Genomic DNA, 23,393 nt, shown 5'->3' with positions numbered 1-23,393 from the left:
TGATTTGCATTTCTCTGATGGCCAGTGATGGTGAGCATTTTTTCATGTGTTTTTTGGCTGCATAAATGTCTTCTTTTGAGAAGTGTCTGTTCATGTCCTTTGCCCACTTTTTGATGGGGTTGTTTGTTTCTTTCTTGTAAATTTGTTTGAGTTCATTGTAGATTCTAGATATTAGCCCTTTGTCAGATGAGTAGGTGGCGAAAATTTTCTCCCATTTTGTAGGTTGCCTGTTCACTCTGATGGTAGTTTCTTTTGCTGTGCAGAAGCTCTTTAGTTTAATTAGATCCCATTTGTCAATTTTGGCTTTTGTTGCCATTGCTTTTGGTGTTCTAGACATGAAGTCCTTGCCCATGCCTATGTCCTGAATGGTAATGCCTAGGTTTTCTTCTAGGGTTTTTATGGTTTTAGGTCTAACGTTTAAGTCTTTAATCCATCTTGAATTGATTTTTGTATAAGGTGTAAGGAAGGGATCCAGTTTCAGCTTTCTACGTATGGCTAGCCAGTTTTCCCAGCACCATTTATTAAATAGGGAATCCTTTCCCCATTGCTTGTTTTTCTCAGGTTTGTCAAAGATCAGATAGTTGTAGATATGTGGCATTATTTCTGAGGGCTCTGTTCTGTTCCATTGATCTATATCTCTGTTTTTGTACCAGTACCATGCTGTTTTGGTTACTGTAGTCTTGTAGTATAGTTTGAAGTCAGGTAGCATGATGCCTCCAGCTTTATTCTTTTGGCTTAGGATTGACTTGGCGATGCGTGCTCTTTTTTGGTTCCATATGAACTTTAAAGTAGTTTTTTCCAATTCTGTGAAGAAAGGCATTGGTAGCTTTATGGGGATGGCATTGAATCTATAAATTACCTTGGGCAGTATGGCCATTTTCACAATATTGATTCTTCCTACCCATGAGCATGGAATGTTCTTCCATTTGTTTGTATCCTCTTTTATTTCATTGAGCAGTGGTTTGTAGTTCTCCTTGAAGAGGGCCTTCACGTCCCTTGTAAGTTGGATTCCTAGGTATTTTATTCTCTTTGAAGCAATTGTGAATGGGAATTCACTTATGATCTGGGTCTCTGTTTGTCTGTTATTGGTGTATAAAAATGCTTGTGATTTTTGTACATTGATTTTGTATCCTGAGACTTTGCTGAAGTTGCTTATCAGCTTAAGGAGATTTTGGGCTGAGACAATGGAGTTTTCTAGATATACAATCATGTCATCTGCAAACAGGGACAATTTGACTTCCTCTTTTCCTAATTGAATACACTTTATTTCCTTCTCCTGCCTAATTGCCCTAGCCAGAACTTCCAACACTATGTTGAATAGGAGTGGTGAGAGAGGGCATCCCTGTCTTGTGCCAGTTTTCAAAGGGAATGCTTCCAGTTTTTGCCCATTCAGTATGATATTGGCCATGGGTTTGTCATAGATAGCTCTAATTATTTTGAGATACGTCCCATCAATACCTAATTTATTGAGAGTTTTTAGCATGAAGTGTTGTTGAATTTTGTCAAAGGCCTTTTCTGCATCTATTGAGATAATCATGTGGTTTTTGTCTTTGGTTCTGTTTATATGCTGGATTACATTTACTGATTTGCATATATTGAACCAGCCTTGCATCCCAGGGATGAAGCCCACTTGATCATGGTGGATAAGCTTTTTGATGTGCTGCTGGATTCGGTTTGCCAGTATTTTATTGAGATTTTTGCATCAATGTTCATCAAGGATATTGGTCTAAAATTCTTTTTTTTGGTTGTGTCTCTGTCAGGCTTTGGTATCAGGATGATGCTGGCCTCATAAAATGAGTTGGGGAGGATTCCCTCTTTTTCTATTGATTGGAATAGTTTCACAAGGAATGGTACCAATTCCTCCTTGTACCTCTGGTAGAATTCGGCTGTGAATCCATCTGGTCCTGGACTCTGTTTGGTTGGTAAGCTATTGATTATTGCCACAATTTCAGAGCCTGTTATTGGTCTATTCAGAGATTCAACTTCTTCCTGGTTTAGTCTTGGGAGGGTGTATGTATGGAGGAATTTATCCATTTCTTCTAGATTTTCTAGTTTATTTTCATAGAGGTGTTTGTAGTATTCTCTGATGGTAGTTTGGATTTCTGTGGGATCGGTGGTGATATCCCCTTTATCATTTTTTATTGCGTCTATTTGATTCTTCTCTCTTTTCTTCTTTATTAGTCTTGCTAGTGGTCTATCAATTTTGTTGATCCTTTCAAAAAACCAGCTCCTGGATTCATTAATTTTTTGAAGGGTTTTATGTGTCTCTATTTCCTTCAGTTCTGCTCTGATTTTAGTTATTTCTTGCCTTCTGCTAGCTTTTGAATGTGTTTGCTCTTGCTTTTCCAGTTCTTTTAACTGTGATGTTAGGGTGTCAATTTTGGATCTTTCCTGCTTTCTCTTGTGGGCATTTAGAATTTCCCTCTACACACTGCTTTAAATGTGTCCCAGAGATTCTGGTATGTTGTGTCTTTGTTCTCATTGGTTTCAAAGAACATCTTTATTTCTGCCTTCATTTCGTTATGTACCCAGTAGTCATTCAGGAGCAGGTTGTTCAGTTTCCATGTAGTTGAGCGGTTTTGAGTGAGTTTCTTAATCCTGAGTTCTAGTTTGATTGCACTTTGGTCTGAGAGACAGTTTGTTATAATTTCTGTTCTTTTACATTTGCTGAGGAGACCTTTACTTCCAACTATGTGGTCAATTTTGGAAGAGTTGTGGTGTGGTGCTGAAAACAATGTATATTCTGTTGATTTGGGGTGGAGAGTTCTGTAGATGTCTATTAGGTCCACTTGGTGCAGAGCTGAGTTCAATTCCTGGGTATCCTTGTTAACTTTCTGTCTCATTGATCTGTCTAATGTTGACAGTGGGGTGTTAAAGCCTCCCATTATTATTGTGTGGGAGTCTGAGTCTCTTTGTAGGTCACTCAGGACTTGCTTTATGAAACTGGGTGCTCCTGTATTGGGTGCATACATATTTAGGATAGTTAGCTCTTCTTGTTGAATTGATCCCTTTACCATTATGTAATGGCCTTCTTTGTCTCTTTTGATCTTTGTTGGTTTAAAGTCTGTTTTATCAGAGACTAGGATTGCAACCCCTGCCTTTTTTTGTTTTCCATTTGCTTGGTAGATCTTCCTCCATCCTTTTATTTTGAGCCTATGTGTGTCTCTGCACATGAGATGGGTTTCCTGAATACAGCACACTAATGGGTCTTGACTCTTTATCTAATTTGCCAGTCTGTGTCTTTTAATTGGAGCATTTAGTCCATTTACATTTAAAGTTAATATTGTTATGTGTGAATTTGATCCTGTTATTTTGATGTTAGCTGGTTATTTTGCTCGTTAGTTGATGCAGTTTCTTCCTAGCCTCGATGGTCTTTACAATTTGGCATGATTTTGCAGTGGCTGGTACCGGTTGTTCCTTTCCATGTTTAGTGTTTCCTTCAGGAGCTCTTTTAGAGAAGGCCTGGTGGTGACAAAATCTCTCAGCATTTGCTTGTCTGTAAAGTATTTTATTTCTCCTTCACTTATGAAGCTTAGTTTGCCTGGATATGAAATTCTGGGTTGAAATTTCTTTTCTTTAAGAATGTTGAATATTGGCCCCCACTCTCTTCTGGCTTGTAGAGTTTCTGCCGAGAGATCCGCTGTTAGTCTGATGGGCTTCCCTTTGTGGGTAACCCGACCTTTCTCTCTGGCTGCCCTTAACATTTTTTCCTTCATTTCAACTTTGGTGAATCTGACAATTATGTGTCTTGGAGTTGCTCTTCTCGAGGAGTATCTTTGTGGCATTCTCTATATTTCCTGAATCTGAATGTTGGTCTGCCTTGCTAGATTGGGGAAGTTCTCCTGAATAATGTCCTGCAGAGTTTTTTCCAACTTGGTTCCATTCTCCCCGTCACTTTCAGGTACACCAATCAGACGTAGATTTGGTCTTTTCACATAGTCTCATATTTCTTGGAGGCTTTGTTCGTTTTTTTTTATTCTTTTTTCTCTAAACTTCCCTTCTCACTTCATTTCATTCATTTCATCTTCCATCGCTGATACCCTTTCTTCCAGTTGATCGCATCGGCTCCTGAGGCTTCTGCATTCTTCACATAGTTCTCGAGCCTTGGCTTTCAGCTCCATCAGCTCCTTTAAGCACTTCTCTGTATTGGTTATTCTAGTTATACATTCGTCTAAATTTTTTTCAAAGTTTTCAACTTATTTGCCTTTGGTTTGAATTTCCTCCTGTAGCTCGGAGTAGTTTGATCATCTGAAGCCTTCTCTCAGCTCGTCAAAGTCATTCTCTGTCCAGCTTTGTTCCGTTGCTGGTGAGGAACTGCGTTCCTTTGGAGGAGGAGAGGTGCTCTGCTTTTTAGAGTTTCCAGTTTTTCTGCTCTATTTTTTCCCCATCTTTGTGGTTTTATCTACTTTTGGTCTTTGATGATGGTGACATACAGATGGGTTTTTGGTGTGGATGTCCTTTCTGTTTGTTAGTTTTCCTTCTAACAAACAGGACCCTCAGCTTCAGGTCTGTTGGAGTTTGCTAGAGGTCCACTCCAGACCCTGTTTGCCTGGGTATCAGCAGCGGTGGCTGCAGAACCACGGATTTTCGTGAACCGCGAATGCTGCTGTCTGATCATTCCTCTGGAAGTTTTGTCTCAGAGGAGTACCCGGCCGTGTGAGGTGTCAGTCTGCCCCTACTGGGGGGTGCCTCCCAGTTAGGCTGCTCGGGAGTCAGGGGTCAGGGATACACTTGAGGAGGCAGTCTGCCCATTCTCAGATCTCCAGCTGCATGCTGGGAGAACCACTGCTCTCTTCAAAGCTGTCAGACAGGGACATTTAAGTCTGCAGAGGTTACTGCTGTCTTTTTGTTTGTCTGTGCCCTGCCCCCAGAAGTGGAGCCTACAGAGGCAGGCAGGCCTCCTTGAGCTGTGGTGGGCTCCACCCAGTTGGAGCTTCCGGGCTGCTTTGTTTACCTAAGGAAGCCTGGGCAATGGCGGGCGCCCCTCCCCCAGCCTCGCTGCCACCTTGCAGATTGATCTCAGACTGCTGTGCTAGCAATCAGCGAGACTCCGTGGGCATAGGACCTTCCGAGCCAGGTGCAGGATATAATCTCCTGGTGTGCTGTTTTTTAAGCTCATCGGAAAAGCGCAGTATTAGGGTGGGAGTGACCCGATTTTCCAGGTGCCTTCTGTCACCCCTTTCTTTGACTAGGAAAGGGAACTCCCTGACCCCTTGCGCTTCCCGAGTGAGGCAATGCCTTGCCCTGCTTCACCTCGCGCACGGTGCGCTGCAACCACTGTCCTGCGCCCACTGTCTGGCACTCCCTAGTGAGATGAACCCGGTACCTCAGATGGAAATGCAGAAATCACCCGTCTTCTGCGTCGCTCACGCTGGGAGCTGTAGACCGGAGCTGTTCCTATTCGGCCATCTTGGCTGCTTCCCCAGTGTTTTCTTTTTAGTCGGGATCTCCCTTCCGTCGCCGGGGCTAGAGTGCAGTGGCAGGATCTCCACTTACTGCAGCCTCAAATTCCTGAGCTCAGGTGATTCTCCCATCTCAGCCTCCCAAGTAGCTGGGACTACAGGCATGTGTTAGCACACATGGATTTTTTTTGTATTTTAGTAGTAAAGAGGTTTCGCTGTGCTGCCCATGCTGGTCTCAAACTCTTGGGTGCAAATGATCCACCTGCCACGGCTTCCCAAATTGCTGAGATTACAGGTGTGATTCACCACGCCTGGCCTCCTGGCAGTACTTTAACAGGCCCAGTCTCACTATCTAAGTACAGAATTTAACGTGCTAGTTTGGCCATGGAAACCTAAACGTCCATGTTTACTAAACCAATTGCACGTGTCTATGTTTCCCTGCTTCCTGTTTTACCTTCCAATTTTCAGATGGGATTGGAGGGAAAAAACGGAATTGATTACCTGGTTATTGAACATCTCCCATACGCTCACTTTAGAAACTTTATTGTGCTAACCTTCATGGCAATTCTACAAGAATGATACAAATACCCCCAAGTTACAGATGTGGAAACAAATTCAAATAATTTATCACTTGTCTCAGGGTCTGTGTACAGTTAATGAGATAATCACTGGCTGCATTCTTACTACAAAGAGAACCAAATAATGAGGTTGCCTAACCATGAGTATCATCATTGATCACATGATTTTTTCTGCAGAATGTTTCCCTCCAGATCAGGACTTTTGGCGTCCTAAAGTTAGTCGAAATTAATCAAATTCCTTCTTGCGCATTTGAATGTGCCCTACTGGCAACTCTTCTTTGAGGATCATACCTTCACCCAAAATGCAATGAGGCCCCCAACTCTGGCCTCACCTATTCCTGGTATTTATTCCGCTCTCAAGTGGCCTCCATTTCACTCTCAATGTGCTTTACTTATGAGTCCTCATGATAAGCCAAGTGATGAGCTTTTAGCAGCTTGGTTTCAGTGTTATCAACAAGGCTACTTCTGTGATTACAAATGCAATTTGTTTTGCTTGGGTGCTAGACGTTGCTAGAAGACTCATGCATAGGCTGATGAGTCATAATCCAAAACTCTATGTAAACAAATGATTCATATGATAGAAGTATATTCACCCTTGATTTCTTCCTTATATTTGAAAACTGAAACTCCATATTTTATTCATTTGATTTATTATTATGTTGAATAGTGCTTAAATTCTATAATTTATTTTCCAAAGCCTAATAACTGGTAGATATAAAAGGCATAGTTAGCAACTTTTTTTCTAAGTTGGTTGCCAATATTTTGTAGTCCAAGAGCTCCAGAAGAATGGTTCCCATCTGTCGTGCTGTGTATTCATCTGCTGTGGGAGCTCATAAGCCTTTTATCTATGGACATGACACCCATCTGCTCTGTTGCTAAGATTCATTAACATGCCATGAGAATCGTGGGATGTCAGGTCACACCTGGGATACATGTTTGCTGAGGAGCCATTATGTATAAATATAAGAATAGAGGACAGTGTACGATTGGACAAACAGCATGGACTTTAGAATCAGAATATTTATGTTTAAATCCCCCTATCAAACACTTGCAAACTGTGCAACTTTAGGCACATTATTTAACCTCTCTGAGCCTCAGTTTCCTCAACTGAGGCATTAATGGCTATACATCAATAAAGCTGCTATAAGGACTGAATAAATTGAAATTATTACTTTAGAGCACTTAATATAATGCCGTTAGTAATCAAAAATAAAAGTTACTAATGATTAAAAGCAAAGTACTCAAACGGCTAAAGGTCAATGACAATGACAAAATCTTAGGACTCTGGGCAGAGAACAATGTTGAATATTTTCCATATGTCTAAAAATAAAACCCTGCACTTACAAATAATGTTATCACATCAGGGTATGTTGATTTTTTTATATTTAGTCTTTCTACTGTCTGAAGAGTTACCTCTAAACTTGTCTTGGCATTTAAGGCCTTCAACAACATAATTCTTGAAGATGAAAATATCTCTCAAAAGTTCCCAGATTAAGCTTTGAAATAATTCTTACCTCAAATCTTTCCATGATAATAGTTAGCTTATGTTTCTAAAGAACATACACATTTTCCATACAACTTAAAGAAATCATACCAAAGAAACACATTCTGAACTTCAAGCCAAAAGATAAGTGTGTTGGGTTTTGAGGAAAACATTAAACTATGAAGTGTGTGATTCAAAAACATTTTTTTAAAGTGTGAGTATCTTAAAAGTATCAAAAATATCACCTGTTGTGAAACTGTAGCTGACAAGTAAAGGAAGTTAATGGTATGTGCACCTTGGAAAACTTTGTATTATTTTGTGACCCCAGTGAATTTTTTTCAAGATACTTACATTGCTAATAAAAGGCATTCCAGGCCAGGTGCGGTGGCTCACGCCTGTAATCCAAGCACTTTGGGAGGCCGAGGCGGGTGGATCACCTAATGTCGGCAGTTTGCGACCAGCCTGACCAACATGGAGAAACCCGGTCTCTACTAAAAATACAAAATTAGCCAGGCATGGTGGCACACGCCTGTAGTCCCAGCTATTCGGGAGGCTGAGGCAGGAGAATTGCTTGAAACCGGGAGGTGGAGGTTGCAGTGAACCGAGATAGTGCCATTGCACTCCAGCCTGCGCACCAATAGCAAAACTCCGTCTCAAAAAATAAAATAAAATAATAAATAAATAAGTAAATAAATAAGAGAGCATTCCAAGGGTCAAGCACTGTGACTCACGTCTGTAATCCCAGCACTTTGGGAAGCCAAGGTGGGTGGATTACTTGAGGCTAGTAGTTTGAGACCAGCCTGGTCAACAGGGTGAAACCCCATCTCTACTAAAAATACAAATATTAGTGGAGTGTGGTGGTGTGCACATGCAATGTCAGCTACTTGGGAGGCTAATGTACAAGAATTGCTTGAGCCTGGGAGGTGAAGGTTGCAGTGAGCTGAGATTGCACCACTGCACTCCAGCTTGGGTGACAAAGCAAGACTCTGCCTCAGGAAAAAAAAAAAAAAAAAAAAGCATTGCAAGTGGCCCCACCACATAGACACAAATTGAAATCAATACAAAAATATTGCCCAAGCATAGTCTAACATTTAATGAATCAATTATGCATAGTCTAGAAAGGTAGTTTTCCTTGGAAAATAAGTAAAGACACTAGTGTTGACCTTTAACCTGAGCATCTAAATCTTCCTTTGGGGTGCTTTGTTTATAAACAAAACAAAACAAAAACTCAAATCGGTGTGTGACTCATTCTGTCATAAATTATAGACCATTTGGAATATGAAAGAATTATGTAAGAGATAATTTTATTTTATGAAAACTGATTAGCCAAATTCCTGTGGATTCTTAATTGTGCTGTGGTAAAATATAAGATTAATGTAGCAGTTCCTTCATCTAGTAAATTTACTGCTAACATATTGAATTAGTGATCCTGTTAGCACTATTCCAGGATTAGGTCATTCATCAACACTGCTAATTCTCACATTCCATCACTCTTAGTTTTTCTCAACCTACAGAAAGATTTTCATTAAAGATTATCATAGCAGTTTACTGATATGGTTTGGCTCTGTGTCCTCACCAAAATCCCATGTTGAATTGTAATTCCCAATGTTGAGGGAGGGACCTGGTAGGAAGTAATTGGATCATGGTGGCGGGTTTCCCTCTTGTTGTTCTCATGATAGTGAGTGAGTTGTGAGGCTACCTGGTTGTTCGTAAGTGTGGAGGACTTGCCCCTTCACTCTCTTCCTCCTGCTCCCACCATGTGAAGATGTGCTGGCTTCTCGTTCACTTTCTGCCATGATTGTAAATTTCCTGAGGCCTCCCCAGAAGCAGAAGCCTGTACAGCCCACAGAATCATGAGACGATTAAACCTCTTTTCTTTATAAATTACCCAGCCTCAGGTATGTCTTTATAGCAGTATGAGAATAAACTCATACAGAAAATTGGTACCAGAGAAGTGGGGCATTGCTATACAGTTATCTGAAAATGCAGAAGTGACTTTGGAACTGAGTAACTGGCAGAGGTTGAAACAGTTTGAAGGGCTCGGAAGAAGACAGGAAGATGAGGGAAAGTTTGGAACTTCCTAGAGACTTGTTAAATTGTTGTGGCCAAAATGTGGATAGTTATATGAACAATGAAGTCCAGGCTGAGGTGGTCTCAGATGAAGATGAGGAACTTACTGGGAAATGGAATAAAGGTCACTCTTGCTATGCTTTGGCAAAGAGACTGGCAGCATTGTGCCGCTGCTCAAGGGATCTGTTGAACTTTGAACTTAAGAGAGATGATTTAGGGTATCTGGTGGAAGAAATTTCTAAGCAGCATAGTGTTCAAGGTGTGACCAGGCTGCTTCTAAGAGCCTATATTCACTTGCATAAACAAAGAAATGACCTGAAACTGTAACTTATATTTTAAAATGGAAGTAGAGCATAAAAGTTTGAAAAATTTGCAGCCCAGCCATGTGGTAGAAAAGAAAAGCCCATTTTCGGGGGCCGGGCACAGTTGCTCATGCCTGTAATCCCAGCACTTTGGGAGGCTGAGGCAGGTGGATCACAAGGTCAGGAGATCAGGACCATCCTGGCTAACACAGTGAAACCCCGTCTCTATTAAAAATACAAAAAAATTAGCCAGGCATGGTGGTGGGTGCCTGCAGTCCCAGCTACTCGGGAGACTGAGGCAGGAGAATGGTATGAACCTGGGAAGCGGAGCTTGCAGTGAGCTGAGATCGCACCACTGTACTACAGCCTGGGTGACAGAGTGAGATTCTGTCTCAAAAAAAAAAAAAAAAAAAAAAAAAAGCCCATTTTCTGTGGAGGAATTCAAGCTGGTTGCACAAATTTGCATATGTAAAGAGGAGCCAAATGTTGACAGCCAATATAAAGGAGAAAATGCCTCGAAGGCATTTCAGCGACCTTCATGGAAGTCCCTCTCATCACAGACCTGAAGGCCTGGGAGAGAAAAATCGTTTCATGAGCCATGCCCAGGACCCTGCTGCTCTGTGCAGCCTTAGGACATGGCACCCTGTGTCCCAGCTGTTCCAGCTCCAGTTGTGGCTAAAAAGGGCCAAGGTACAGCTTGAACCCTTGCTTCAGCAGGTGCAAGCCCCAAGCCTTGGCAGCTTCCACATGGTATTGAGCCTGCAGTTACACAGAGGGCAAGAGGTGAGGCTTGGGAGCCTCCGCCTAGGTTTCAGAGGATGTATGGAAAAACCTCAATGTCCAGGCAGATATCTGCTGCATGTGATGAAGCCCTCATGGAGAACCTCTACTAGGGCAGTACAGAGGGGATATGTGGGGTTGGAGCCCTCACACACAGTCCCCACTGGGGTACTGCCTAGTGAAGCTGTGAGAAGAGGGCCACTGTTTTCCAGACCCCAGAATGGCAGATCCACTGAAAGTTTGCCCTGTGCACCTAGAAAAGCCACAGGCACTCAATGCCAGCCCATGAAAACAGCCAAAAAGGCTGTACGCTGCAAAGCTGCAGGAGTGGGGATGCCCAAGGACTTGGGAGCCCATCCCTTGCATCAGTGTGGCCTGGATGTAAGACATGGTATAAAGGTAATTATTTTGCAGCTTTAGAATGTAATAACTGCCCTGCTGGGTTTTGGACTTGCGTAGGGCCTGTAGCCAATTTGTTTTTGCCATTTTCTCTCTTTTGGAGTAGGAGGATTTACCCAATGCCTGTACCCTCGTTGTATCTCGGACATGCAAACTTTTTAAAAAAATTTTACGGATTAATAGTCAGAAGGGACTTGCCTTATCTCAGATGAGAGTTTGGACTTCGAATTTTTAGTTAATAGCTAGAATGAGTTAAAACTTTAGGGGCCTGCTGGGAAGGCATAATTGTGTTTTGAAATCTGAGAAAGACATGAGATTTGGGAGGGGTTGGTGGAGGAGTGATATGGTTTGGCTCTGTGTGCTCACCCAAATCTCATGTTTAATTGTAATCCCCAGTGTTGTGGGAGGGACCTGGTAGAAGGTGATTGAATCATGGGAACAGACTTCCCCCTTGCTGTTCTTATGATAGTGAGTGAGTTCTCACGAGACCTGGTTGTTTGAAAGTGCATAGGACTTCCTTCTTCACTCCCTCTCCCTAATGCTTCCACCATGTAAGATGGACTGGCTTACCCTTCACCTTCTGCCATGATTGTAAGTTTCTTGAGGCTTCCACAGCCATGCCTCCTATACAGCCTGCAGAACTGTGAGTCAATTAAACCTTTTTTCTTTATTAATTACCCAATCTCAGGTAGTTCTTTATAACAGTGTGAGAAGAGACTAGTATATTTACCATTTCTAAAAATTGCATTTTCGGGGATATTTCAACACCTTATATTCTGTGTGGTCTGTGTATCTTATTGTTTATTTCTTTTCACTCCAGCATCATAAAGGATCATCTTACTTTATCATATGCAAATATATGCAGGTGTTCTTCTAGCTGAATAGAAAACTATACTCTTCTAACACCAGAAAGAGCCTCCTTTAAAAAAAATTGTATATATATATATATATATATATATATATTAGTTTCAGGGACCACCTTCGGTTGTTTCTTTACATTCTTAGTGAGAAACTGTAATATAGTAATAAGAAAATGAGCTTTGAAGCCAGACAAAGGGAGTTTGAATCCTGTCTTTGGTACTTACTAGCATCTTTCTGTTCCCCAATTTCCTCATCTATAAAATACAGAAAATAATAATAATAGTTTTAATAACAGTCACAGGTTTGTAATGAAAATTACATGAGTTAATGTTTTAAATGCTTAGGAGACTGCCTAATATATAGTAAATTTATATAAAATTTTTAAAGAAAAGTTTTTTTTTTTTTTTTTTTTTTTTTAGATGGAGTCTCACTCTATCACCCAGGCTGGAGTGCATTGGTACAATCTCAGCTCACTGCAACCTCTGCCACCCGGGTTCAAGTGATTCTCCTGCCTCAGCCTGCTGAGTAGCTGGGATTGCAGGCACCTGCCACCGCACCCAGCTAATTTTTGTATTTTTAATAGAGACGGGGTTTCACCACCTTGGCCAGGTTGGTCTTGAACTCCTGATCTCGTGATCCACCTGCCTCGGCCTCCCAAAGTGCTAGGATTATAGGGGTGAGCCACCACCCCCAGCCAAGAAATAAGTTTTATGACCACATTTAGCTTCCATCATTTTTTCAAAGTGATCATTCTTTCTAATGTCTTTATTTATCTTGTATCACTTTACATTGCACTATTTTATGTCCTTTTTTGCCAGAAGTCAGTTATGTTTTTTGTAGGAGACATGAGTCATAAGCTGTGACCATTGATATTTGGAAAATTAAAGTCAAACAATAAGTCCATTCCCCACTCCCATATATTCTACAGCAGTTGTCTAGTGCTATTATTCCAAGCTACTTATTTCTCAGTAAAAATAAGACATGATTACAAAATATTGTATTTAATGAAGTACAGTGGTAGCCAAGATATTGTCTAAATTCATAATTAGAATGGCATCTTAGTAGAATAATTTTTTTACAAGCAGGGCAATTGCCATTCAATGTCATAGAAAAGCATGAAAAAGCACCAATAAGTAGACCCCAGTTTTATTTTGTTTCAGTTTTTTTACAGAACATCATTCAGTTTTAGGCTTGCTAACTCATGGAGCATTATAATTGCCATGAATCAGGGGAAGGGAAGGTGAAGGGTGAATTTACTGTGGAAGGGGAAACGATCAAATCATATAAAATGCCACATTACAAAAAAATAAGAATTCCATGCTAACTCACATATACATATGGCATGTGCAAAGCTGATCGACTGCCATTTTTTGAGTACCTCTCTACTTCCTCTAAGTATTGCACAGCTGCTAGCATATTTGCTGCAGTGAATGTTTTTGGTCCCATTGGCCCCTAGAAATTGAAAATGTTTTCAGGGTGGTTTGATTTAACTTCTGAAGTTGATTAAAACTAACATTAATTTTTGAAAACCTAATTTAGGACTTCAGTATATTTACTCCAGTTATGTATCAAAATATTTTTAAAGATACTCACAAAAAATGATAATTATCCTAATAAGGAAATGGACATTCTCATTTGATTTTCTTTACTCAAAGAAAATTGACCTATGATTTCACAATTCCACATTAATTAGTTGAATAGTTGGCTTTTCAGCTAGGATCCACTCTGTTTTATGGGACAGTATTGTAGCATTTGCCAATTAAAACAAAAACAGAAACAAAAACCACCAGGCGTGGTGGCTCACACCTATAATCCCAGCACTTTAGGAGGCCGAGGCAGATGGGTAACCTGAGGTCAGGAGTTCAAGACCAGCCTGGCCAACATGGTAAAACACTGTCTCTACTATAAATACAAAAATTAGCCAGGCACGATGGTGGTCACCTGTAATCCCAGCTACTTGGGAGGCTGAGGCAGGAGAATCACTTGAACTCAGGGGGCAGAGGTTACAGTGAGCCGAGACAGTGGCCTTGCCCTCTAACCTGGGCAACAAGAGCAAAACTCCATCTCAAAAAAAAATAAAATTAAATTAAAAATTTTTTAAAAAGTCACTATCTGTATCATGAATGTTAATTAATTGGCATCTAAATTGTTGAATGTGGCATTATCAAAGTATTTAAAGATTTCAGTGGAGGAACAGAAATAATTTAACCTCTAAATTGCACTCTAGTTCCACTAGGCTCTATTTTCAGAATATTGCTTTTAAAATTCCCCAAATTAAGTAATGAATATCTTGTTAAAAATAAGATATTTCATAAGAAACCATAAAAGTTTATTCATGAAATAAGTATTTTATTTAAGCTTTTCAGGGGTAAGCACAATGTTCCTTAAAAACAAGATTGAAAAGTCCTTATCCGTACATACTTTGCCTGTAATAATACCATATACAAAATGTAACCCATCAGTCTATGGTCTATCTTAAATTGCAGTTGAAGCCTCAGGCAATCAAGGCTGTCAGATAACTTTAAAAAGATCTTCAAGAAAAAAGTACTCCCTGTGTAAGAAATAATTGTGTCAATAACAAGATTTTATCTTTGTTAACAGACAAAAGAATTGGTAATTGGTAAATCAGTAGAGTTAATTATATGGGACTCCATTTACAGGAATACAGTCAGAAATAACTACTTGGTTAGATAAAAGATCATTGATTTATGCCTAGGTGCAGTAGCTCATGCCTGTAATCTCAGCATTTTGGGAAGCTGAGGCAGGTGGATCACCTGAGGTCAGGAGTTCAAGCCCAGCCTGGCCAACATGGTGAAACACCGTCGCTACTAAAAATACAATGATTAGCTGGACATGGTGGCAGGCACCTGTAATCCCAGCTACTTGGGAGGCTGAGGCAGGAGAATCGCTTGAACATGGGAGGCAGAGGTTGCAGTGAGCTGAGATCATTCCATTGCACTCTAGCCTGGGCGACAAGAGCAAAACTCAGTCTCAAAAAAAAAAAAAAAAAAAACATTGATTTAGCATCTTCTTATTCATCGAGGAAAAGTGTTATATTATAATGTCTAATTCCATCTGACTTCTATTTATCCCAGTGATACCTGATGTCATACTGGTAGGTTAAATTTTATAATCTTAAGGTGCTTATTTGAAATTGTGTGCTTTTCTTCAACACTTCTATTCTGAGGACGACTGCAACGGTTTCTTAATCAAACATTCAATAAACTAGTAGTATAATTCTGAGATGCCTCTTGGATACAGGTGTAGGTGGGATTATTATATTATGTTTGCTTTGTATTCTACATTCTCACCAATTTTCTTGAGACTGAATCAGCAGGGCATGACTCGAAAGTCATAGTAAAACCACTTTTGCAAAAATTATAACTAAGAAAATTATTACAGTGAAAGAGATTGGACCTAACTGACCCCATTTTGCTTCCAACTGCCAAGCTGTCCTTGTTCATTCCTGGGTGTAGGCTGAACTGTTGGAGGAACTTAGTTTATGGTTTAACTTTAAAACAAAGACGATAATAGCCTGACATGGTTTGACTCTGTGTCCCTACCCAACTCTCACTTTGAATTGTAATAATCCCCATGTGTCAAGGGTGGGACCAAGTGGAAATAATTGAATCATGGGGGCAGTTTACCCCATGCTGTTCTCATGATATTAAATTATCATGAGATCTGATGGTTTTATAAGGGGAATCCTCCTTCGCTCAGCACTCACTTTGTCTCCTGCCACCAGGTGGCTTCCACCATGATTATAAGTTTCCTGAGGCCCCCTTCCCAGCCATGGGGAAATGTGAGTCAATTAAAACCCTTCGCTTTATAAATTACCCAGTCTCGGGTATTTCTTCATAGCAGCGTGAGAACGGACTAATACCGTAAATTGGTACTGAGGTAGTGGGGTGCTGATATAAGGATACCCTAAAATGTGGAAGCGACTTTGGAACTGGGTAACAGGCAGAGGTTGGAACAGTTTCAACAGTTCAGATGAAGACAGAAAAATGTGGGAAAGTTTGGAACTTACTAGAGACTTGTTGAATGGCTTTGAACAAATTGCTGATAGTGACATGGACAATGAAGTACAGGCTGAGGTGGTCTCAGATGGAGATGAGGAACTTGTTGGAAACTGGAGTAAAGGTCACTCTTGCTATGTTTTAGCAAAAAGGATGGTGGCATTTTGCCCCTGCCCTAGAGATCTATGGAACTTTGAACTTCAGAGAGATGATTTATGGTGTCTGGCAGAAGAAATTTCTAAGTGGCAAAGAGTTCAAAAGGAAGCAGAGCATAAAATTTTGGAAAATTTAAGCCTGACGATATGATAGAAAAGAAAAATTCATTTTCTGGGAGAAATTCAAGCCTGCTGCAGAAATTTGCATAAGTAATGAGGAGCCAAATGTTAATCACCAAGACAATGGGAAAAATGTCTCCAGGACATGTTAGAGACCTTCCTGGCAGCCCCTGCCATCACAGAACCAAGACCTAGGAGGGAAAAATGATTTTATGGGCTGGGCCAGGGCCTTCTTACTCTGTGCAGCCTCAGGACATGGTGACCTGTGTCACAGGTGCTTCAGTTCCAGTCATGGCTAAAAGGACCCAAAATATAGCACAGGTCATTGCTTCAGAGGGTGCAAGCCCCAAGCCTTGGTGGCTTACATGTGGTGTTGGGGCTGCAGGTGATAACATCTCTATTGTAAAACCTAAGATCAGTGCTTGAGGTATTTTCCAGACCCTGCACTTGATGGATCAACTGGTACCACCCGGATTGGTAAACTGGCTTATCTGATCTTGTGACCCCCACTTAGGAAGTGACTCAGCAAAAGAAGACAGCTTCAGCACTCCCTATGATTTCATCTCTGACCCAATCAATCAGCACTCTCCACTTTCTGACCACCTACCCACCAAATTATCCTTAAAAACTTCCATCCTCTCCTGAGTTTTAGAGTAATAACAAAACTAGTCTCCTGTACAGTTGGCTCTGTGTGAATTAAACTCTTTGTCTATTGTAATTCTCCTGTCTTGATAAATTGGCTCTGTCTAGGCAGCAGGAAAGGAGAACCCATTGGGAGGTTACGATAGTTTCAAACGTGGCAAAACTTCACTAATTCAGGCTGGAATAACTTAAAACTTGTGACAATTTGGACAGAATTCTGGGTTGGGATTTACCTTTATAATATTAATCATATCTTCTCACAGTGCATGAATCAATTCTGAAACTCTTTGCAAACAGCGTAAATTAACTCTGTGAAATACTGTAGGATGTTATAATTGCAGAATGCATGGCTTCCATGAATTTCAGATGCACATATACATTAAATAATTAACATGATCCTCCTTCCATTCCATTTGGGTTATTTATCTAATAGTCTAGATTCATATTTATGTATTTACATTATTTGAATTTATTTATCCTATAACAAATAAAAGACATTTGAAAATAACTAGGTAGAAGGCAATTTATGGATATTAATTTGATACCAGAGGAGTCAGATTTAGGACTTTATTAACAACAGTATAATAACCAGTTATAGAATACCAAATATTAATGTCTGGACATTGGCCTTCTAACCCCCCTTCTTTTTTTTGAGACAGAGTCTTGCTTTGTTGCCCAGGCTGGAGTGCAGTGGTGCGATCTCAGCTCACTGCAAGCTCTGCCTCCTGGGTTCATGCCATTCTCCTGCCTCAGCCTCCTGGGTAGCTGGGACTACAGGTGCCTGCCACCATGCCCGGCTAATTTTTTTTGTATTTTTTGTAGAGGCGGGGTTTCACTGTGTTAGCCAGGATGGTCTCGATCTCTTGACCTCGTGATCCACACTCCTCGGCCTTCCAAACTGCTGGGATTACAGGCGTGAGCCACCGCACCCAGCCAACCCCATTTTTTTAAGTCCTCTTAAAATCTATACTAGGAAAACAAATTAGAATTGAATTTTTGGTCACATTTTTGAGCTGTCCTGACCAAAATAAGTAAAAGTGGTTGCTTTACAAATACACCTTATAACTTGATTTTTAAAAACAAATTCAGACGGGTTTTGTTAGAGTAGGTAGCTATACAGACATGAGCAGGGCAGAAGATGCTTCTCCCCCAGGAATGTCAGGTGACCATCAGGTGATGGTCAGGCTGTCATTAAACTGTCTCTCTAAAATAATAATCAGTTGCAGCAGAGGCAAGGAAAGGGAGACTCCCAAAAGACAGAAAACACCTGAAGCTGGTGATCAGCAGCTTCCCAATAAGATCTCAGGAGTTGGGTGGGTGAGCTCAAACATGTACAGTAAGAGGCAAAATGGTAGAATTTAACTGGTATATGACCTTCCTCTAGGAACACTCAACTGGTAAGGGAAAAATGCCTCAAATGAGCATGCACACAACTTCAGTAAACACACTGCACATGTGGCCCCTCTCAAGTGCTAGCAGGCCACTGTGCAGGTGGAGAGCCCATCCCAACAAAAAATCAAGGAAGAAGACACACAAACCTTGGAATCATGCCAATGTATAAAAACCTCAAGTCAAGGGTCAAACAGGGTACTTGGATTTCTCAAATTGCCCACTTGGCCCTCTACCAAGTGCACTTTGCTTCCTGTTATTCCTGCTCTGAAACTTTTTAATAAACTGTCACTCCTGCTCTAAAACTTGCATTGGTCTCTCACTCAACCTTATGTTCCTCAGTTGAATTCTTCCCTCCAAGGGAAGAGTTTGCTGCAGACCTACCATATTTACTGCTGCTAACATTATCCCCCAGATTTGTTTCAGTGAAGTTTTACTAAAATTTGCCTAATTAACATAAAAAGCAAATTATGCTATATTATGCTAAAACTTAAATTTAAGTCATATTATAAAACAGCAGTTTTACTTTTTTCAATCCATGATTACAAAAGTACACTTAAACATCAGCAGAATAAACATTTAGAAGATGCTTTTAGAGGAACACTTTTACTTGATCCAACAAGTTAATTTCACTGTTATTATCAAATCACACTAAAAAGATATCTATTTACTGTCATATTTTCAACAGTAAATTTTGAGTCCAGCACAAAATCACCTGAAGAAATGTAAGGGAATACACATTATGCACACTACTTAAGAGTATTCCTTATACATTTATAAAAATCATTTAAAAGGAAGGGGGAGGAAAAATCATAGGGCTTTTGCCATACCTGTGGTTGGGGATGAATCCAGATCTCCATAGTTGTAGACTCTTTCATGGGGGTGCAAGATCGCACAACCTCCTTCATTGGCTTTAGAAGGGAAGAAAATAGAAGTATTTTAAGCTGTTTGTTAAAAGTAAAATACACAGTACATTTCATATAAACATTGCCTATAGGTAGCTAAAATAGTGCCTGGGTAGATTATCTCTTTTTAGACATCATAGTTTATTTATGTAACAAATGGTTATTGAGGGTTAACAATATGCCACACATAGCTCTAGGTACTAGAATTAAAAAAGAGAAAAAAAAGAAAAGAAATTTATTTTCTCATGGAGTTTACATGGAGTGTTACATTTATGTGTTCTATTAAACATGTGAATGAAATTGTGGAGGACTATTTAAATGATGCCTGTAACCCCAGTGCTTTGGGAGGCCAAGGTGGGAGGATCACTTGAGCCCAGCATTTTGGAGGCTGCAGTGAGCTATGATTGTGCCACTGCACTTTAACCTGGGCAGCAGAGCAAGACCTTGTCTCAATAAAATAAAATAAAATAAAATAAAATAAAATAAAATAAAATAAAGATAAAAAATAAAATATTTAAATGGCTGACATTTAAGCTGTAGAAAATTTCTGTCCAATGCTTTTGCAACCTAATGGCTTCAAGGGCTATATATGTGAATATGCTCTTGTTGCAAATTAAAATCAATCTTGTGTGCGCCACCACAACACAAATTTGCTATTTGCCATACAAAGATATTTAATAGATGTAATAAATGCCAAAAGATTTAATAGATGTGATAAGTGCTAAGTGCATTGAGGACGCAGATCCTCAGTGCAAATGATCCTTGTCTTTTCAGGAATTAACAGATTTTACCAAAGATGTTCAGTTGTTACTTATGTAAGGAAGCAATACCAAGTTGGAAGTGATTGAAGAATTATCCTATATCTTGGCTATTGTGATTAGTGCTGCAATAAACATAGAAGTGCAAGTATCTTTTTGATATATCCATTTTCTTTTCTTTCTTTTTTTTGGATATATAACCAGCAGTAGGATTGCTGGATCATATGATAGATCTACTTTCAGTTTTTCCAGGAACATCCTTACTGTTTTCCATAGTGGATGTATTAATTTACATTCCCATCACCAAGGTGCTAGCATTCCCCTTTTTCCACATCCTCTCCATTGTCTGTTATTTTTTGTCTTTTTGTAATAGCCCTTTTACCTGGAATGAGATGCTATTTCACTGTGGTTCTTATTTGCATTTCCCTGAAGATTAGTGATGTTGACTGCTTTGGGGATAAATAACCAGAATATATAAGGAACTCAAACAACTCAATAGAAAAAAAAATTAATTTAAAAATGGGCAAAAGATATGAACAGGCATTTCATAAAAGAAGACATGCAAATGGCCAAAAGGTACATTTAACTTTTTTTTTTAAAAAACCAAGTTTATTTGGGTTGCATTTCACATGCACATTTTAAGCATCTAATTTAAACATTCTCTGTCAACTGTGAGCAGTTCAACGTCTGCTGGGCTGCCCTCTGTCAAATACATAATGCTGTATTCATATGTCCATTTAATTAAGTAGGGATGCTATTTTACTTGGTTAAAAGTATAAGTCTATGTGGATGTATCTTGCACATTTAAATTTGGCAACTAAACATGTCCACTGTATAACATGCTTCAGTATTCAAACATTAGAAAAAATTATTTTGTTTTGTACAAAAATAAGAACTTAAAATAATCCCCCCACCCCTGCCAATATTCTATCACTCCCCACCCTCTCCAAAATTACATAGTTATAAGACTAAGAACCAGGAAATCATCTAATAGAATAACCCCAATATACAGAACTGCTGAGACCTAACTGTAATGCAAGTGAGAGAAATGACACTTGCAGGAAAACTTAGTGCTTAGCTACATTTATGCTTGACTGTTTTAAGAAAATGAACTATGGTTCATCAGTGACACCTGAGAAATAAAATGCAGATCTGTATTTCTCTTTCCTTACATGTACCACATACTGAACCAAACGATCTTTCCTTTTATGGAATTAGATGTCAAACTTTCAAGAAAAGAGTAAAATGCTTTATAAGAATCACAGTCTTTGTAGAGTTAAGCCACATTTTAATTCAGTTCATATTAAGATAGTGCTCAGTGCCAAAAAGTAAGAAGTGTGTTTTAGCAATGATCTTAAAGAGTCTTGAGAAATGTCACTGGCATTATTGCTAATAATAAAAAATAATACTTCTAAGAGAAGGAAGGATAGATATTGGATCTTATTATTATTCCTGAGTTAGAGATTACTTGCTAATCATTTAGACATTGGAAGGGAAGTTGACTTTGTTTAAAATTGCATTAACGCCTTCAAGTACAAATATGTTGTTTCACTAGTGATGCTGTGTAAATAAATAGACATATGTGAGAGAAAAGGGGTACGTTTATATTATTTCCCACCTTTTAGAATCTAGAAATTCTATAGATTAAAAATTATCTGTAATTTTCTTGAATTATTTTATTTATGGAGGAGGTAGGAAGAGGCTAGATCATAAGAAGCATTGATGAAGAGTAAATGCTCAAAATTCTATTAATTCCAATTTTTTTTGTCAAAAAGTAAGAAAATTTTAAGGCAAATTCCAATTCACAGAAGTGAGAATTATTTCTCAAAATATACACAATAATAAAGTTTTTGCAATAAATGGAAAATATATTTTCAGCTTCCAAAGGAAGCTTTCATGAAAATATATAAAGTCTTTCATGAAAATAATAAGATGCAGGTAATTTAAAAGAATAAAATTCACTTCCCAAAATATATCTGCTTTGCAAAAATAGGCTTATGAAGAAAGATAATTTGATTGAACTTTCTAAATCTGGCCGGTTCTTCTTGCTGTTCTCAAATGTTTTCCTGAGAGTGTTGCACAGTATCTGAGCTTTAGTAACTTCATTCATTAACTGCTTTCCTTAACTTGACTAATTGCAAAGCTGCTGAGAGAGGTAAACCCAGACTGGTTTTGTGGTTTTGTGATTTTTTTTTTTTTTTTTTTTTTTTTTGAGACAGGATCTCACTCTGTCACCTAGGCTGAAATGCAGTGTGGCAATCTTGGCTCACCGCAGCCTCAACCTCCCAGAATCAAGTGATCTTTCCACCTCAGCCTCCTGAGTAGCTGAGACTACAGGCACATGTCACCATGCCCGGCTAATTTTTGTATTTTTTTTCTTTTTTTTTTTTGTAGAGACAGTGTTTCATCATATTACCCAGGCTGATCTCAAACTCCTGAGCTCAAGTGATCTGTTTGCCACGGCCTCTGAAAGTGCTGGGATTACAGGTGTGAGCCATCTCACCCGGCTCCTGGTTTTGTGATTGTTTTCAGGAGAAATGTGGAATGCATCCTTTCTTCTCTCAATTAGACATTGTATTGCAACTCAAACCTAATGGTAAGAAAATCATTCTAACAATAAGATCATGCTATTTCTGAATACAGTTTCACCACTATTGTTTCAAAATCTAGCAAAAAAAGAATCCAGAGATGCACTGGTGCATTCAGCAATTATATTTCTTTCTCAAATGCAGTAGGTTTTCCACTAGAAATGTAAGTATGCTATCATTTTCTGGGTAATCAAACCCACCATGGAAGTCTCAGGATTTGCAAATATGTGACATTATAAATTGTCATAGTTATCACTTTATTTTAGCTACCAAAGACTACAAGTGGGTATAACTGATACATTATTGTTATCTTATTGCCATATGGTTGAAATATTGACAGATTAGGGCCAAAAAGGTCTCCTCAAACATGCATATGAGATATTTTTTGGAGAGTCCTATGCAACATCTAGCATGATGATATATGCCTAAAGACATGTAAGTATGTGGGGGATGCTTCTAGTGATTACATTTATAAAAACTTTTTTTCATTCTTATTTCCTTAAAAGAAAGCATGACCCTTACTGTGGAAATAACATTCATCAAAACTATGGCAAAGTTTACAAATATAAAATGTAACTTGATGTTTATTTTTCCCAGGACATATATAGATGAATGATTTTCATTAAAAGCCTTGAAACAATATCAACTTTTAATTTTTATAATGTTACAGGACATATTTTCTAATTGCAGTGAATATAATCCAGAGGTTTCCTGAAATAGGAGAAACTCTCAGTTAATTACTACTCTCTTTAATGTTTCTTTTCTCCTGACATGCCTTTCTGCCTTATATTTGTTAGAGGTGTTAAGATGTATTCTATATGCAATATTTAAGGAAGAAAAGATATATATTTAAAAGAGACTAAAGTCTACTCAACAATATGGTGCAACAGTGGAAAGGATAGAGGCTTTGGAATCTACGTCTGGCTCTACAGTCTACTAGTT

General features: G+C 39.1%; 1 protein-coding gene across 14 annotated transcripts in view; it reads right to left on the bottom strand.

Moving 5' to 3' along the window:
* PCDH11X (protocadherin 11 X-linked) overlaps positions 1–23,393 on the bottom strand; it is an 843,856-nt gene that overhangs the window by 402,745 nt on the left and 417,718 nt on the right. For 12 of the 14 annotated variants that reach the window (XM_011530911.3, NM_032968.5, XM_011530910.1 and 9 more), the window contains one exon: positions 19,031–19,111. The exons of the other annotated variants lie outside the window; for them this stretch is intronic. In XM_011530911.3, coding sequence (XP_011529213.1) covers positions 19,031–19,111 — 81 coding nt within the window. The remainder of the gene's footprint in view (positions 1–19,030; positions 19,112–23,393) is intronic. 14 annotated transcript variants of the gene reach the window in all.

The sequence above is a fragment of the Homo sapiens genome, chromosome X, assembly GCF_000001405.40.
Source record: "Homo sapiens chromosome X, GRCh38.p14 Primary Assembly".
In the NCBI taxonomy this organism is placed as follows: domain Eukaryota; kingdom Metazoa; phylum Chordata; class Mammalia; order Primates; family Hominidae; genus Homo; species Homo sapiens.
This window is presented reverse-complemented; position numbering and strand designations above follow the sequence as displayed.